The sequence below is a fragment of the Homo sapiens genome, chromosome 16, assembly GCF_000001405.40.
Source record: "Homo sapiens chromosome 16, GRCh38.p14 Primary Assembly".
NCBI lineage: Eukaryota > Metazoa > Chordata > Mammalia > Primates > Hominidae > Homo > Homo sapiens.
Genome location: NC_000016.10, coordinates 76517 through 91872, shown reverse-complemented (window position 1 = coordinate 91872; position 15356 = coordinate 76517). Strand labels below are relative to the sequence as shown.

At 60.5% G+C, this 15356-nt stretch overlaps 2 protein-coding genes across 8 annotated transcripts in view, besides 6 other annotated features; one reads left to right on the top strand and one right to left on the bottom strand.

The window, feature by feature from the left end:
* Positions 1-4065: part of a locus control region, noted in NCBI's record as "regulatory region from 0-65 kb upstream of the HBZ (hemoglobin, zeta) gene; 5' extent approximated based on the cNFG2 cosmid described in PMID:2253879", that runs on past the window's edge. NCBI's record gives its function as "regulates expression of the alpha-globin genes during erythroid development" and the evidence as "EXISTENCE:transgenic organism evidence [ECO:0001131][PMID:2253879, PMID:1425590, PMID:17110138]".
* NPRL3 (NPR3 like, GATOR1 complex subunit) overlaps positions 1-6487 on the top strand; it is a 53288-nt gene extending 46801 nt beyond the window's left edge. For all 5 annotated transcript variants that reach the window (NM_001077350.3, NM_001243247.2, NM_001243248.2 and 2 more), the window contains 3 exons: positions 1971-2160; positions 2983-3175; positions 5003-6487. In NM_001077350.3, the coding sequence (NP_001070818.1) occupies positions 1971-2160; positions 2983-3175; positions 5003-5168 (549 nt within the window). In that variant the 3' untranslated portion in view covers positions 5169-6487. The remainder of the gene's footprint in view (positions 1-1970; positions 2161-2982; positions 3176-5002) is intronic.
* Positions 6027-14866, bottom strand: MPG (N-methylpurine DNA glycosylase). 3 transcript variants are annotated; one of them, NM_002434.4, is made up of 5 exons: positions 13540-13648; positions 12542-12734; positions 12173-12448; positions 8617-8821; positions 6027-6472 (listed from the first exon to the last, which is right to left on the bottom strand). In NM_002434.4, the coding sequence occupies exons 2-5, from the start codon at positions 12578-12580 to the stop codon at positions 6096-6098; spliced, it is 897 nt and encodes a 298-aa protein (NP_002425.2). In that variant the 5' UTR covers positions 12581-12734; positions 13540-13648; the 3' UTR covers positions 6027-6095. The 3 variants fall into 3 exon arrangements, with proteins under 3 accessions (NP_002425.2, NP_001015054.1, NP_001015052.1); NM_001015054.3 differs by lacking the exons at positions 12542-12734; positions 13540-13648 and adding an exon at positions 14748-14866; NM_001015052.3 differs by lacking the exon at positions 12542-12734.
* Positions 6583-6702: an enhancer, noted in NCBI's record as "active region_10200". NCBI's record gives its function as "activates an Ori minimal core promoter by ATAC-STARR-seq in GM12878 lymphoblastoid cells {active_cell/tissue: GM12878}" and the evidence as "EXISTENCE:reporter gene assay evidence [ECO:0000049][PMID:35858748]".
* Positions 6803-6862: a silencer, noted in NCBI's record as "silent region_6901". NCBI's record gives its function as "represses an Ori minimal core promoter by ATAC-STARR-seq in GM12878 lymphoblastoid cells {active_cell/tissue: GM12878}" and the evidence as "EXISTENCE:reporter gene assay evidence [ECO:0000049][PMID:35858748]".
* Positions 7410-8265: an enhancer, noted in NCBI's record as "H3K4me1 hESC enhancer chr16:133607-134462 (GRCh37/hg19 assembly coordinates)". NCBI's record gives its function as "activates a minimal SCP1, AML or CMV promoter by ChIP-STARR-seq in naive H9 embryonic stem cells {active_cell/tissue: H9 hESC(naive)}" and the evidence as "EXISTENCE:reporter gene assay evidence [ECO:0000049][PMID:30033119]".
* Positions 13378-14067: a silencer, noted in NCBI's record as "silent region_6900". NCBI's record gives its function as "represses an Ori minimal core promoter by ATAC-STARR-seq in GM12878 lymphoblastoid cells {active_cell/tissue: GM12878}" and the evidence as "EXISTENCE:reporter gene assay evidence [ECO:0000049][PMID:35858748]".
* Positions 13569-13863: an enhancer, noted in NCBI's record as "tiled region #13767; HepG2 Activating DNase unmatched - State 1:Tss, and K562 Activating DNase unmatched - State 1:Tss". NCBI's record gives its function as "activates a minimal TATA promoter and a strong SV40 promoter by Sharpr-MPRA in HepG2 and K562 cells {active_cell/tissue: HepG2 | K562}" and the evidence as "EXISTENCE:reporter gene assay evidence [ECO:0000049][PMID:27701403]".
* Positions 14867-15356: the final 490 nt, after the last annotated feature.

Here is a 15356-nt window from a genome sequence, read left to right as displayed (position 1 = left end):
TCTGGGCAGAGACTCAGAGCAGGGCCAGATAGGATACGGTGTTGGAGACAGACGAGCTGGGTGTTCTCAAGTCTTTGTCTCCAGAAGTATCTGAGTAAGTGCCAGATCTATTAGGCAAAACCAGTCCTTAAAGTTAAACCCTTTCCGTTCTCAAATTACGAATGAGAACGATTCTGGCTTTTCAGCTCCGTTAGACGCTAAACCTGACAGAGCTCTCAGTGCGGTCTTTCACAGAGCCCTTGGTTTCTGGGAGCTGAGCCAGGTTGTACCAGCTGAATAAAAGGCACTCTCTGCACCCCTGCTCTTGGGGCAGTGCTTAGGGAGGAGCTGCTGGTGCTCCCTTCTCAGAGGCCTCCTGTGGTCTAGATAACGGAGTGGCTTTTCCAGGCCATGACTGAGTGGTTGCTCCAGGCCTTGTCAAGGGGCCTAGGTCAGCCAGGTTCTGCCTGGGCTCCAGTGCTGGGAAGCCCCTCTGTTTTATTTTTGGTTTATTGATTTTATTTAATTTTGATTGCACGTCAGGCTGGAGTGCAATGGCATGATCTCGGCTCACTGCAACCTTTGCCTCCCGGGTTCAAGCAATCTCCTGCCTCACCCTCCCGAGTAGCTGGGTTTACAGGTGCCCGCCACCACGCCTGGCTAATTTTTTGTATTTTTAGTAGAGACGGGGTTTCACCGTGTTGACCAGGGTGGTCTCTAACTCCTGACCTCAGGTGATCCACCCACCTCATCCTCTCAAAGTGCTGGGATTACAGGCATGAGCCACTACGCCCAGCTTTTTTTTTATTGTTTTGATATAGAAACTTGCTTTGTTGTCCAGGCTGAAGTACAGTGGCGTGATCTTGGCTCACTGCAACCTCCGCCTCCCAGGTTCAAGTGATTCTCCTGCCTCAGCCTCCCAAGTAGCTGGGATTACAGGTGTGTGCCACCACACCCGGCTAATTTTTGTATCTTTAGTAGAGATGAGGTTTCACTGTGTTGGCAAGGCTGGTCTCGAACTCCTGAGCTCAAGTGATCCACCCGCGTCTGTTTTATTTCTTAAATTCATGTGAAGTCTGGATATCTTGCAGTCCTTTTGACCAAGTCTTCTTACTTGCCTGGGATATATCCCCCATTCCCATCCCCAGTTCCCCAGCCCCCTCCCAGGAGGTGACCCTGGCCAGCAGCTCCTTGTTGACCCTCCCAGAGATGAGTAGACAGATGTGTATCTGAGGACACTGATGTGTCTCACACTCCTTACTGTTCAACGCCTGAGTCTGGGCAGTACTTTCTCATGGGGACTGGACTCTACCTGGCACAAGGCTCCTCACTGCTCCTCACTGCCAGCCCCACCTGCTAACCCAGAGACATTGGAGGGCCTGGCCAGGACGTGCCTTCTCACGGTGGGGGTGGGGGTGGGGTGCTCCACCCCCAAGCCCAGGGTCACTGGCCTCAGCTTTCTTGTGGATCCACTCTTGTGCTCAGGGTGGACTTTCAGGTAGATCCAAGGAGAGGACTTTCTGCTCTCAGGGTACCTGCCCACAGCCTCTTTTTAAACAGTGTCTGGGCTTGTGTGGAGGTGGACTTGCTGGCTGGGTCCAACTCCAGGGCCAGTGGGCCAAAGAAGAGAGGAGGCAGAGGGGCAGCTGCAGCAGCACAGGGTGGGGGGTTTGCTCAGCGAAGCAGTCACAGGGGCCTCCACGTCTCAGGTCCTGCTCCTCAGCCAGATGCTGGGTGGCCCCGGTGTGTGGTGGGAGCCTGTGCAGGTGTGATCCAGATGTTCCCCTGGCCCCTCTCCCTTCCCAGGAGGGTGAGCGGGCCTTGCAGAGCTGGCTGGCAGCTGGGGGCTCCCTTTCTGAGAAGAGGGCCTTTCTGCCTGTGCGTCAGCACAGGGAGCGTGCTGTGGCCATGTCTAGGGCCATGGCTCCCTGATCACCCAGGAGGAAGTTGGAGTGGGGAGGGGGACCAGCCTCACCTGCTGCCACCCGCAGACCCAGCTCATCCAGATGGTGGTGTGGATGCTGCAGCGCCGGCTTCTCATCCAGCTGCACACCTATGTCTGCCTGATGGCCTCACCCAGCGAGGAGGAGCCCCGTCCGCGAGAGGACGACGTCCCCTTCACTGCCCGGGTCGGCGGTCGCAGCCTCAGCACGCCCAACGCCCTCAGCTTTGGCTCCCCAAGTAGGACCCCCAGGGCACCGCTGTGGTAGTCAGGGGAGACGCTTGGGGGTGGCATCCAGGAGGCTCAACGTGGGTGGTGCTGTGAGTGATGAGGGGCCTCCACACAGCTGCACACGCACATGCACGTGCCTCGTGTCCCCCGTGGAGACACCTCTCCTGTCTCCTAGCACCACCGTGACTCTGAGGTGGCAGCTCTGTCTCCGGGCTCTTCAGCAGGCTTGCTAGAATTAGGGGCAGCTCCCAGCCCAGCAAATCAGTGCTGGAATCTCTGCCCCAGCCTGGGAGCAGAGCAGGATCTCATACCACTACCAGGACAGCTGACACCTCTGCGCCCCAGAAGAGCCGTCATGGCCAGTGTGGCTTGAGGGCAGCAGCCTGTTGCCAGGTCCCAGGTCCCCGGTCCCCAGGCTTGGGGAAGGAAGGGGGTGGAAGACTTTGAAAGTCCCCCCTTGGCTGAGGTCTGGCTGTAGGCTTCATGCTTCATGTGAGGACCCCACCTGCCCAGGGTGCTTTGTCCTCCATCCTGGGTGAGGGACAGGATGCCCAGGCCCACCTTGGGGTGTTTGTGGGGCACACATCGCACCTCTGTTCAGGTCCCTTGAGGTTGCCCCCAGAGGGGAGGCTACCCGTTTCCCAAGTCAGCCGTATGAGGGGCGTGTCACACCCAGGAGGTGGGGCAGCAGCGAATGCTTGCAGGCAGATGTACCCTAACCCTTGTAGGAGTTAGGGGTGTCATTGGAGGCTGGCTGCTGGCTCTGCCCTCGCTGTTCCCCTGGGTGTCCTGGAATTCCACTTGGTCACCCTGACCCATGTCCCCCACAGCCAGCAGCGATGACATGACCCTCACCAGCCCCAGCATGGACAACTCCAGCGCAGAGCTACTTCCCAGCGGGGACTCGCCACTGAACCAGAGGATGACGGAGAACCTGCTGGCCAGCCTGTCGGAGCATGAACGCGCAGCCATCCTCAGTGTACCCGCAGCCCAGAACCCTGAGGACCTCCGCATGTTTGCCAGGTGGGTGTAGGTTGACCCGTTGGGACTGGGGCCAGTTGCAGGGTCAGGGCAGAAAGTGGATAGGGACGTACGCAACAGAACCACCAAATCCACTGAGAACAGATGGGGCCCTGTTCGAGATGGAGTCTCTGCATTCAGGTGTGTAGGGGCAGGTGCCACTGCCCAGGCCTGAGGGTTCGGCTTGTCACCAAGACGCCGGGCCATGGGCCTGGCATGCCTATTTTTCGGACTCTTCTCTCTCCAGTACTTCTTAGATGTTCCTTTTCCCTTGAGAGGCAGTGCCAAGTTCTTTTTTTTTTTTTTTTTTTTTGAGACGGAGTCTCGCTCTGTCACCCAGGCCGGACTGCGGACTGCAGTGGCGCAATCTCGGCTCACTGCAAGCTCCGCTTCCCGGGTTCACGCCATTCTCCTGCCTCAGCCTCCTGAGTAGCTGGGACTACAGGCGCCCGCCACCACGCCCGGCTAATTTAAGTGCCAAGTTCTCACCCTCATGGGACTTGGCAGGGGTTTGCCCAGGACTGTAAGCCCTGCGGGCATCCAGGGTCCCCCATGTTAAAGGTGATGTGGCTCAGTGGTCTCTGTCAGCCCCACCCTGACTTGGGGGACAGTGCAGGGGCATAGTTTCCCGGGAGTGGTCGGGTTGTCAGGGACTGAGTTTCCGGTTGAGAACCACACTCGGCCCTCGAGAGAACCACTTGCAACTCTTCTGAGCAGCTGGTCCAGGTCTCACCTGCATCCTAGCCTCCTCTGTGCCAGCCTGAGTTGCAGAAAGCACCCTAAAGCAGTGACCTTCCAAATGATGGTGACATTAAAAAAAAAAAAAAAAAAAGTCAGGCGCGGTGGCTCATGCCTGTAATCCCAGCACTTTGGGAGGCTGAGGTGGGTGGATCACGAGGTCAGGAGATCGAGATCATCCTGGCTAACATGGTGAAACCCCGTCTCTACTAAAAAATACAAAAAATTAGCTGGGTGTGGTGGCGGGCGCCTGTAGTCCCAGCTACTGGGGAGGCTGAGGCAGGAGAATGGCCTGAAGGCGGGAGGCGGAGCTTGGCGGGAGGAGGAGAATGGCGGGAAGGCGGGAGTTGCAGTGAGCCCAGATCGCGCCACTGCACCTCCAGCCTGGGCAGCAGAGCGAGACTCCGTCTCAAAAAAAAAAAAGCAGGCTGGGCACAGTGGCTCACGGTTATAATCTCAGCACTTTGGGAGGCTGAGGTGGGTGGATCACCTGAGTTCAGGAGTTCGAGACCAGCCTGGCCAACATATAATGAAACCCTGTCTCTACTAAAAAAGAGAGAAATTAGCCAGGTGTGGTAGCGCACTCCTGTAGTCCCAGCTTACCTGGGAAGCTGACGCAGGAGAATCGCTTGAATCTGGGAGGCGGGAGGTTGCAGTGAGCTGAGATCGAGCCACTGCAATCTAGCCTGGGTGACTGAGTGAGACTCCGTCTCTCAAAAAAAGGAAAAAAAAAAGCAGTGACCATTTGGCTCCAGAGCTACGTGGGACTCACTGTAGCACGAAAAAGAAGCCACCAGCAGAACCCTGGTCCCAACATCAGGACGCAGGCTTGGGCACCTCTGGGTTTGAACAGCCGTCTGCCGTCCTGAACCCACTCCGCCCACCTGGTGGTCAGCGGGACCGTGGTGGGCATGGGGTCCAGGAGGCCTGCCCACCCTTGTTGGGGGGCTGTGGTGGCTGCCTCCCTGGCCTTCACCACCAGCTCTGTTCAGGCCTGTGGGCAGCTCAGAGCTGATTCCCAGCAGTGGCTCTTCAGCAGAGGCCTCTGGGGGCTGGTGTCAGGTTGGGCTCACACCCACCCATCCCTTCCAGGCTCCTTCACTACTTCCGCGGCCGCCACCACCTGGAGGAGATTATGTACAACGAGAACACGCGGCGCTCCCAGCTGCTCATGCTGTTTGACAAGTTCCGCAGCGTGCTGGTGGTGACCACCCACGAGGACCCTGTCATTGCCGTCTTCCAGGCTCTGCTCCCCTGAGCCCAGGCGGAGGGCGGAAGGCTGCTGGGGTGCGCAGGTGGGCGCTCGCGTCTCCCCACCCCAGGGCTCCCCCCGTGCTGAGGCTGAGCCCTCTTGGCCCTGAGGCCTGGCATTGGGTGGATGCGGGCTGGCCGTGGCCCAGTGAAGCCTGCAGAGCCCCGCTGTCCTTGCCCCTGGTGGTTCCGCTGTGGGGCTGCTGCCCTCTGTGTTCCTACGCTTCCCTCCAGTCCTTGCCGCACGCGTAGGCATCTCCACGCTGGAGGGGGGCCTGCCAGGACTCCTGTCTCTGGGTGAGGCCGCATCCTTCAAGGCCCATGTGGGCTGTGCGTTTCTCAGACCCTCCTTCTGTCCCTACACCTGCTCCTTGGACCCCCCAGTCTGTGGCCACCCTGAAGAATGTGCAGAAACACTTGTGTGGCCTGTCCCTGTCTCTCTGACAGCCTTCTATTTGTGAAGTGCCCTGTGGCCCCCTCCCCAGCACCTCTGTCTGCCATGCGCTTCTTCCTCCCAGGCTACCCTGAGCCTTTCCTGGCCCAGTCCTCACCACAGTCCACAGAAGCCGCAAACAGGCTCATAGCCAAGCTGTGACCTGGTCCTGACCATCTGGGGCACGAGGGCCTGGGCTGGCCCTGCTAGGCTGGAGAAGCCCTGTCACCTGTGCACATCTTGCTGGTGGAGGCATGGCCCACTGTGCAGGACCCCACCCTCGGGGGCTTTCGGCTCCCACACTGATGATTCTCCCCAGCATCCACACCGGGCCTGGCGCTACGTACTCAGGCCCCCAGCTCTCGTGTCCTGGAGGAAGAGCTAGCTCCAGACATGGGTTGATCACCTAGAGGAGCTCTGGCTAAGGCACAGTTTTCTAGAAATAAAACATTTATTCGGTTTTTAAACAATTAAAAAATCTTGTCTGGGCAGGCCCTTTGCTCAGGCCTGTGTGTCCTGCTCAGCCACTCTGTCGACCACACTGACCCAGGGGCTGCCCCGGACATAGAAGCGGAGGGGTTTCCGGGCCCACTCCCCTGCATGGCCGACGCCCACCCGGGCTGCTGCCACTACAGCCGGCTCACTGGGCTCCAGGGGACCACGCTCCAGCCATACAGCTTCATCCTGTGCCAGGTCCCTCTGGTCAAAGCTCTTGTTGATGGCCAGGGCCTGGCACAGCTTGGAGGGGCCACTGCAGAGCTCGCGGTCCTTGAGGACACGGCTGGCGGTGCCTTTCCGGAGGGTGCTGCGAAGCTGACGCATGGTCTCCAGACCTTCCAGGGGCTCCAGTGCTCGCAGCAAGACGCAAGCCCCGTCCCCTGTGGGACGGACAGTTTGGAAGTGGAGCCTCCCTAGGCTCCTGTCCTCTCTGCCCTAGTACACATCCAGACATCCTGTGCTGCAGGGAGGGTGCAGCTGCCTTCCTGCCTGGGCCAGGGACCTGCTCTGTGCACCTGCACCATCTCCTGGGTCTGACCTGGTGGGAGGGGGCTGCACCTCACTGTGTCCAGACCCCTCTGCCTACCTTGCCATCCTCCAAGCCTGCACCATGAGGTGTGCCTCCTGTGGGCACCTCTGGCTTCCACCACCAGGCAGGGCCTCCCCCACTGTGGCCGCCCCCACAAAGCCAGACTGTTAAAAACACATGACAAATGCTGGGTATCAGTTCCTTTCCACCTGGCTTCCCCTGGTCTTGTGACTGGCAGCAGCTATAAAGCCAGCAAAGGAAGCTCCAGAGAGCCAGTCCTCGGGTGCGATCATTCAGCCAGGAAGCAGGAAGCCTTGGCCTAGCCAGGCCCCAGCGCTCCCCTTCTGCCTCACCCACTCAGTGTTTGTGTTGGTCAAGTGGTGGGGGCTAGGAGTTGGCTTAGAGCAGCTGCCAGTGTGCACCGGATGTTGGGAGAGCCCATGCAATGACTCAGTGGAAGGACTGACTGCAACACCCTGCACAGGCAGGGCAGGAGGAGGCTGACAAAGCCCCCTCACCTCCCTTGGGATCCCTCCTCCAGCCTAGCCCCCTCCCTCACCAGGCCAGGCCCCTTGAGAAACAGAGACAGCAAGCGAAGGCTCCTGGGCCCAGGGGCTCACTCAAGCACAGATACCCGAATTCCCTCTGCCCTGCAGGTTTGGAAAGGCCCCTTGGATTCCTGGCTGGGGACAATGATGACCTGGACCCTGGCCAGAAGAGCCCTGGCCCTCCAGCAAGGCAGCACCTGCTCTGATGCACCTGTGCACCCCTGGCCCTCCCAGCCACCTGGGAGTCCGAAGCTTAGCCTGGAGGTGGCCAAGCCAGTCCCTACTCTTGGGCTGCGGCCACGTGAGGCTCCGCATCAGCAGCCAGGGGCGAGCACTAGTGGACAAAGCCAGCAAATGCGGCGTTCCTGTGAGCAGATACCCTCAACCAGCCAGCTGTCAAAAGTATTTCAAGATAAAATCCAGGCCAAGCAAAGCCTTTAAGTTCCCGTCCATTCTGTGATTCCCACGCTGCTTCCAGCTCACCAGGTGGGGTGCCTGCTGCCCACCCTGACCCACCTCAGTAGGGAGGAGCAGGACCCTCTACATCCCTGTGGGTGCAGGGCACACGCCCCTCGTTGTCTCACTGAGCCCCCACAGAGCCGCCTGCAAATGAGTCAAAGCCTGGCCGCCCTCATCACCACAGCCCCGTGCCCTGGCTCCTTCACACAGAACACATCCAAGTCCCACATCCTGACAAAAACATGACCCCTTTGATCACTTCCTGCCAAACCTCCCTTTCCTCACCGACTCCTCCGCCGACCCTAAGTCCCCCTGCTGTGCCCACTGCTCCATCCTTGGCAACCTGACCACGCTGCTCTTAGCACTGCAGTCATCCTCTTCTCCAATCAGCTTCTCATCCTCATGTGCTGCCTCCGTCAAGGGCAGGCGACACTGTGTCCTCGGCCTTCTTTCTGCCTCCACTCCAACCAACCCTTTCTTTTCCTTTCCTTTTTTTTTTTTTTTGAGATGGAGTCTCGCTCTGTCACCCAGGCTGGAGTGCAATGGCGCGATCTTGGCTCCCTGCAACCTCCGCCTCCCGGGTTCAAGCGATTCTCCTGCCTCCGCCTCCCTAGTAGCTGGGATTACAGGAGCCCACTACCACACCCAGCTAATTTTTGTATTTTTGGTAGAGACAGAGTTTCACCGTGTTGGCCAGGCTGGTGTCGAACTCCTGACCTCAGGTGATCCGCCCGCCTCGGCCTCCCGAAGTGCTGGGATGACAGGCGTGAGCCACCGCGCCCGGCCCCACCCGGCCCTTTCTACCCCTTTAACCTAACCAGCCCTGCCCCGTCAGCGTAGCCAGAGCTCCCGAAACCCTGGCCTGGCCTGGAAGTGGCACCTCCTCGCTCAAATGCTGGCCCCACCTCAGTCCTCCTAGTGGTCCCCTGGCTGCTAGCGGACAGGGCTCTGCCGGCCCTCCAACCCCCCGTGCCCCAGCACTGCTCACCCTGGCTGGAGATGTTCATGCAGAAGTACATGCCGTAAATGATGTACACGTACAGGGTCCCCGGCTTCATGAACATGCCTCGGTTGCGGGGGGTCTGCCGGCCACCCCTTGAGTGGGCGGCTTCATCCTCTGGCCCCAGGTATGCCTCGGTCTCCACGATGCGGCCTCGGAGTTCTGTGCCATTAGGAAGTCGCCGGACTAGGACCTGTGGGCAGTCAGTTTCTGCTCAGGGCGGGAAGGGATGGGGGTCCACTCACCCTAACAGTGCCCAGCCTGGACCTCATCTCCCCAGCTCAGGGTGTGTCAGCCGCCCAGGTCTAGCCAGGGACCTTGCCCCGTCTCCATCCTGCCTCTTCTCTTGCTCCTGCTGAGGCTGAATGTGGCTATTGAGGGCACCAGTTGTCTCCTCCAGCCCTGCTAGACAACCAGACCGCAGGCCGAAGATACCTCAGGCCACAGCCAGGCTGGGCTGGGAACCGGCAGTCATGGATTCACCTTGCAGGTCAAGTCCTCTCAGCAGGACCCTCCATTCCCCAGATTCCTCCTTTCCCAAGTGCCCTTGAGAAAACCATCAGCATTTAGCACGAGGCCAGGCATCACGGAAGGCACAGGACCCCAAGGATGTCCCCACACCAGCTACCTGGGCAATCCCAGAGCCCGTGAAGTCCCCTAAACCTGGGCTGCTGAGGTGGCCACAAGGGACCCTCATACTCAGCTCCCACCCTCCGGCTTTCTGAGCAGTAGGCCCAGCTGCCCCACGGTGCCCCAGCCTGGACCATGGTCCTGGTAACGGCCAACAGTTGTGTCACTGCTCGGAGCCCCAGAGTTAACAGCAGAGCACTGGGGACCAACCACATCCCCTGCACCTCTCGTTTTTAGGCCAGATAGGTCAGCTGGACAGCCAGGCTACCTTCACCTCAGCCCACGAAGCCCTGTGGTGCCAAAGGCCATGGTCAGTATCACGGGCTGGGGAGGAGGGGCACTGGAGCTTAGATGCTCGCCGGGGGAGCATTCAGGAGGGCTTCCCGGAGATAGGGTGGTGGGAAGAAGGGGTCAGCGCGGGGAGCATTCAGGAGGGCTTCCCGGAGATAGGGTGGTGGGAAGAAGGGGCCAGCGTGGGGAGCATTCAGGAGGGCTTCCCGGAGGTAGGGTGGTGGGAAGAAGGGGCCAGCGTGGGGAGCATTCAGGAGGCCTTCCCGGAGGTAGGGTGGTGGGAAGAAGGGGCCAGCGTGGGGAGCATTCAGGAGGGCTTCCCGGAGATAGGGTGGTGGGAAGAAGGGGTCAGCGCGGGGAGCATTCAGGAGGGCTTCCTGGAGGTAGGGTGGTGGGAAGAAGGGGTCAGCGCGGGGAGCATTCAGGAGGCCTTCCCGGAGGTAGGGTGGTGGGAAGAAGGGGTCAGCGCCGGGAGCATTCAGGAGGCCTTCCCGGAGATAGGGTGGTGGGAAGAAGGGGTCAGCGCCGGGAGCATTCAGGAGGGCTTCCCGGAGGTAGGGTGGTGGGAAGAAGGGGTCAGTGTGGGGAGCATTCAGGAGGCCTTCCCGGAGATAGGGTGGTGGGAAGAAGGGGTCAGTGTGGGGAGCATTCAGGAGGCCTTCCCGGAGATAGGGTGGTGGGAAGAAGGGGTCAGTGTGGGGAGCATTCAGGAGGCCTTCCTGGAGATAGGGTGGTGGGAAGAAGGGGTCAGTGCCTGGGCGGGAAGCCCAGAAATCCTTAGGCATCCAGAGCCATGAGGACAGAAGTGAACAGGCCAGGCTTGGCCAGGCCATGTCCAGGGGAGAAAGGGTGGCCCTGTTCCATCTTCCCTGGAGCTTAGAGGGAATGCCCCTCCAGGGGCTTCACTCTGCACACTCCTGTGCCTCCATGGGGGCACACTGGGGGGGCCCAACTACCACTCTGGAGAGGAGGTTCCCACAGCCCTTTTCTCATTGTTTCCTTTTCCATCCCAAATTTCTGATCAGGATTTCACTGATACCATTTCCACCAGTGGCAGATACTGGGGCCTCTCACCCCTCCCCACCCCCATGGCCAACACACACCCCTCTTCCTTGTTGGCAGAGCCTCCTGGGGGAGACCACACCCTCCTCAGCCCAGAGAGTGGCCTGGGATTTCATGGCAACTCACTGCAGTGACCCTTTTAGGGATGAGTGCATGACCCAAGCCTGGCTGAGGGGTCTGCAAGGGCATCCACTAGGAGGTTATGGAGAGGGCAGAGGGCTGTCCCTGATCCAAGGGACACAGGGTGAGACACCCTCTTCTCTGCTGGACATCATCTTGTCCACCAATGGGCTCAAGTGGGCATGACTGTGGCCTGACAAGGATGCTGAATAGAGACAAACGTATTGTGGTCCCTGATGCCATGCTGCGCCCTTGCCCTGTTCCTACGACGCACCTGCCACACGTGCTGTTTTGTTGTATCACAAATGCCCATTGTATTTTTTTTTTATTTTTGAGACGGAGTCTCGCCCTGTCGCCCAGGCCGGAGTGCAATGGCGTGATCTCAGCTCTCTGCAACCTCTGCCTCCCGGGTTCAAGTGATTCTCCTGCCTCAGCCTCCCAAGTAGCTGAGATTAGAGGCGCCCGTCATCACACCCAGCTAATTTTTGTATTTTTAGTAGAGATGGGGTTTCACCATGTTGGTCAGGCTGGTCTCAAACTCCTGACCTCGTGATCCACCCACCTCCGCCTCCCAAAGTGCTGGGATTACCGGCATGAGCCACCACACCTGGCCACAAATGCCCATTACTTAAGGTGCTTTTAGAAGGATCCGCATGGGGACAGAATGTTCTCTGTTCTCCATGAGGTCGAGCCCACATTCTAGGGTCTGCTCCTTTAGCACCCAACTCCTGGCACTGGTATTTCTCTTCTGGTTCTTCTTGGTGATTATAACCTAAAAGTAGGCTCATTAAAGGACAAAGGGAAGGCCTTGGAGCCTCTGGAGAACCAGAAAGGCAGGCCTGGGGCTTTGGCATCGAGGACCACCGCCACCACCTCGCTCCCAACAGATCCAGCCAAGATGCCACGGCTGTGTGAGCATCTGCTCGTGGGGACAGGCTGCACCGTAGGCCCCACCAGGATGGGACCTGGGCAGTCCCTGCTTCTTACTCCAAGTCTGATTGGCAGAGCCCAGATCCTTGACCTACATTAAGCTGCAGGGGCCCTGGGAAGCCAGCACTGCACTGTGAGCCACTACAGCGGGAAGGGGCAGCCCGACACTGGCCACAGCCACAGTTCCCACGTGTGGAAAAACTGAGGTGGATTGCCGGTGAGGAAGGCTAACGGTGCAAGTGCTCCTGCCCTAGATGCCCAGAGCCGGGGGCAGACAGTGGCACCCCTGCTCCACCCTGGGCAAGCAGCACTGACAATCTCTACATTCTTCCCAGATGACCTCAGGCAACTGAGATGAAGCTAAGCAGGGACCAGTGTGAGCAAAGCCGCTAAATGCATGAGGACAAGGAGGACTAACTGAGGGCCAATCCAGCAGGCAGCGGACAGGGGTTCAGGGACAACTGCAGTGACAGGCACTTCAGGAGGGCCCTCGCTGCTATGTTCACATTACCTGTCCCAGAAATGCCCGGGCCAGGGGGACTGCCGGCTGGTCGAAGAACTCCAACCCCAGTCGGGTAAGGTGGCCCTTTGGGCTTGAGAAATAGATGCTGCGGTATGGGCCCGGAGTGGTGGGCGGTCCCAAGCAGCGCTCCCTGGGGCAAGGTGCCTGGGCTGCATCGGACGAGCTGTGTGGCTGCTCTGCAGGTGCCTGGGCTGCGTCGGACGAGCTGTGTGGCTGCCCTGCTCTAGCTGGTCGCTGCTTCTTTTGCCCCATCCGTCGGCAAAACTGTAATGGGAAAAAAAATAAATAAGCATCCGAATAGGAGACAGCTGTGTGGTAAGGTCAGGCTCAGGAAGTGCAAGGACTGGATCTGACCACCTGCTTTGGTTTCTTCATCTGCAAAGCGGGGGTGACCATCCTGTGGGTTGTTATGAGGCACAAACACCCTGACACACTCGAGGCCTCAGGAAATGATCACGTCTGACGATGGACGGCTGCTGCTGGGGGCAGGGTGGCTGCTCTGCCCCACATATGTGCGAGCTGCACGGCATGGGGGCCCAGGCTGCATGACCTGGGGAGCAGATGGGGGCCTGAGCCTGGGACAGCAGGGCTGGTGCCCTCCGATTCCCACTCATCATGCAGGTCCCAAGCAAACGTCTGAGCTGGTTTCTGGAGCCCTGCCCTTTCATCCAACCCTTGCCAGAATTCAAAACACAGGATCTTAGCAGGGCCAAGGTCGGACACACAGGGAGGGGTGAGCACCGGGGTGACCACCGCGTGCTCAGGGTCCCTAACTGTCCTCTGCTTCATGGCCCAGGCTGGATAACGAGCAAGTGGGGCAAAGGCAAGGTCTCCTGAGGGACTAGGAGGGTCTGCTGAGACCGAGCAGGCCGCCAGCCTCCCACCTCTGGCCTCCCCATGGGTAGGGGGAACCTAACCACACATCCTCGGCTGTCCTGGGGCAAAGGAGAAGGGAAGATGAAGGTGGCGGGTGAGCGCCGGCCTGGCAGCACCCGGAGGGCTGGTCTTTAGCAGCACCTAAGTCCTCCTGGCATGGGAGAGATGCATTATTTTTAACGGGAGTGCTGACGTTAATGTAGAACGGAGACTGCCAGTCGGCCTGGAACGGACGCTGACGTGACCGTCTCCGCAGCTCGGCCCGCGCTGCCAGCGCGCCGTGGGTTCAGCCCCCGGGCGCTGCGGCCACTGCTCTCGGCCCGAGCTTGGCCCTTGGCCTATGCTCTGGCTCTGCCCCGAACCCTCGGGGCGGTGGGCGCTACGCCCGTCCCCGGCACTCCCGCTCCCGCGGCCGCGCTCGCTGCTGCGCCTGGGGGTGGGCGCGTCTGTTCCGCGGGGCGGCCGAGGCGCGCGCTCACCTGGGCCCCGCTGCGCGCGGGCATCCGGCGGCTCGGGCCGGGGCTTCGTGGGACTCGGACCCCGGCGCGGAGCCCAGCAGCCGCCGACCACGGAAGCACCCCTAGGACCGGGGCGGAGCGGCGCCTGCGCAGAAGGGGACGGAAGCCGGGAGAAGGGGGGCAGTGAGCGCCGGGAACTGGCTGCGCCCCCGGGGCGGGGCGGGCCACGTGGAGGTGGATCCTCTTCCCAGCGCCCACCGCCAGGTCCGGACCGATTCCCGGGCCCGATGCGGTGCCTGCGAGGCGAGAGCGGGGAAGGGGCACCTGGGGGTGGGGCGAGCCCCGCACTGTGCCCCGGCGCCCCTCCCAATGAGCTGTCCGCCCCCGCCTGCGCCCTGGTCGCCTGGCGGCCCCAGAGCCCACTCCACCAGCCGGTGGTCAGACCACCGAGAGGACGGGCCCGTCGTGAACCTGAGTGGATCCTCGAGGGGCCCGGGCGGAGTGGTCGTGCTTTGGGGGAGGGGGCGGGCCGCAGACGTGTTTTCCGGTGGGGTGCCAGCGGAGTGAGCGCCTGGGAGGCCGCCCCAGCCCTGGTCCGGAGTGGGCCGGGGAGTCCTTATCCAGGAAGTGGACGCCAGGCTTGTGCGGAGGCCCCCGCCCCTGGCCGGGGTTGTCACAGGCTGGTCGGGGGAAGGAAGGAGGGAGCGGCGCGGATTCTGCCTCTGCAGCAGAGCCCCCATCCCTCTTTCCGCCCAGGGATGCTGAAGGGAGCTCGCCCACGTTCTGGGTTGGGCCTGCTGGAGCGCAGGCAGCCTCCTCTAGAGGCCGAGGCCAGACCAGGGCTGAACACGGCCCGGCAGTGCGCAGCCGTCCTACGCTTCTGAGGCCTCCCCGACGGCCCAGCGCCTGTAAGCTCTCACAACCTCTCAAGTCAGATCCATGCCCCTAGGGAGGGGCAGGGACGGTGCTTGGCCCAGTGGACGGAAGGGCCTAGGGGACGGGCCCTGAGGGAGCTGGGCACACTGCTGGCTCCCACGGCCCATGGCAGCCCCAGCACCCAGCAGAGCCATCCCCCGCTTCTGGCCACTTGAAGGTTTATCTGGGTCTGCAGGGCCCCTCCACTGTGGCAGGCACAATCCCACCCCACAACCCACCTCTGCCGCACAAAAACCCTCGAGGGGCTTTTCCTGAGCTTTGACTTCTGTGACCCTGGTCCTGGAAAGGAGCACCTGAAAAGGCCTTGAAGAGCAACTGGGCACCTGGCCGCGTCAGGTGGGAGACGCTGGGCAGGACAGACGCACAGGCCATGTGTCTGGAGCCCTCAGATGAGTGTGACACCTGGTCCTACAGAAAGGCTAACAGGGCAGGACCTGGTCTCCAACTGCCTCTCCTCCTCTGACCAGCCGTCCCACCCCCATGGGCCCCAGCCAGGACTTCCTGGGGAGGGAGGGGCCATCAGCCGGCTGGAAGCCACCAGCTGTTTGTAGCACTGTGTGCCGCTTCCCGGGGTGGGGGCATAATGTGTCATCAATCCGTGTTTATAAAGCAGCCCTGGATGTGATTCCACACCCTCCCTGCTTATCTGCAGCCATGCCTCCCAAACAATGAGTCTCTCCTTCCTGTGGGAACAGCCCCCCATCCCCCCGAGTGCTCCCCCTCAGTCTAGTAGGGAAACTGAGGCCCCAGTTGAGCCTTTGTCCTCTTGATGGGCAGGGAGAGGATGGGTGTTACTTTGTACTTATATTTATTCTGATGTTACAAGTGATACATGGTCCTTGCAGAACTCACGGGGAGTCCAGAGGCTCCCAGAGGGGTGTTTTTATCCCCACCTTTCTTAT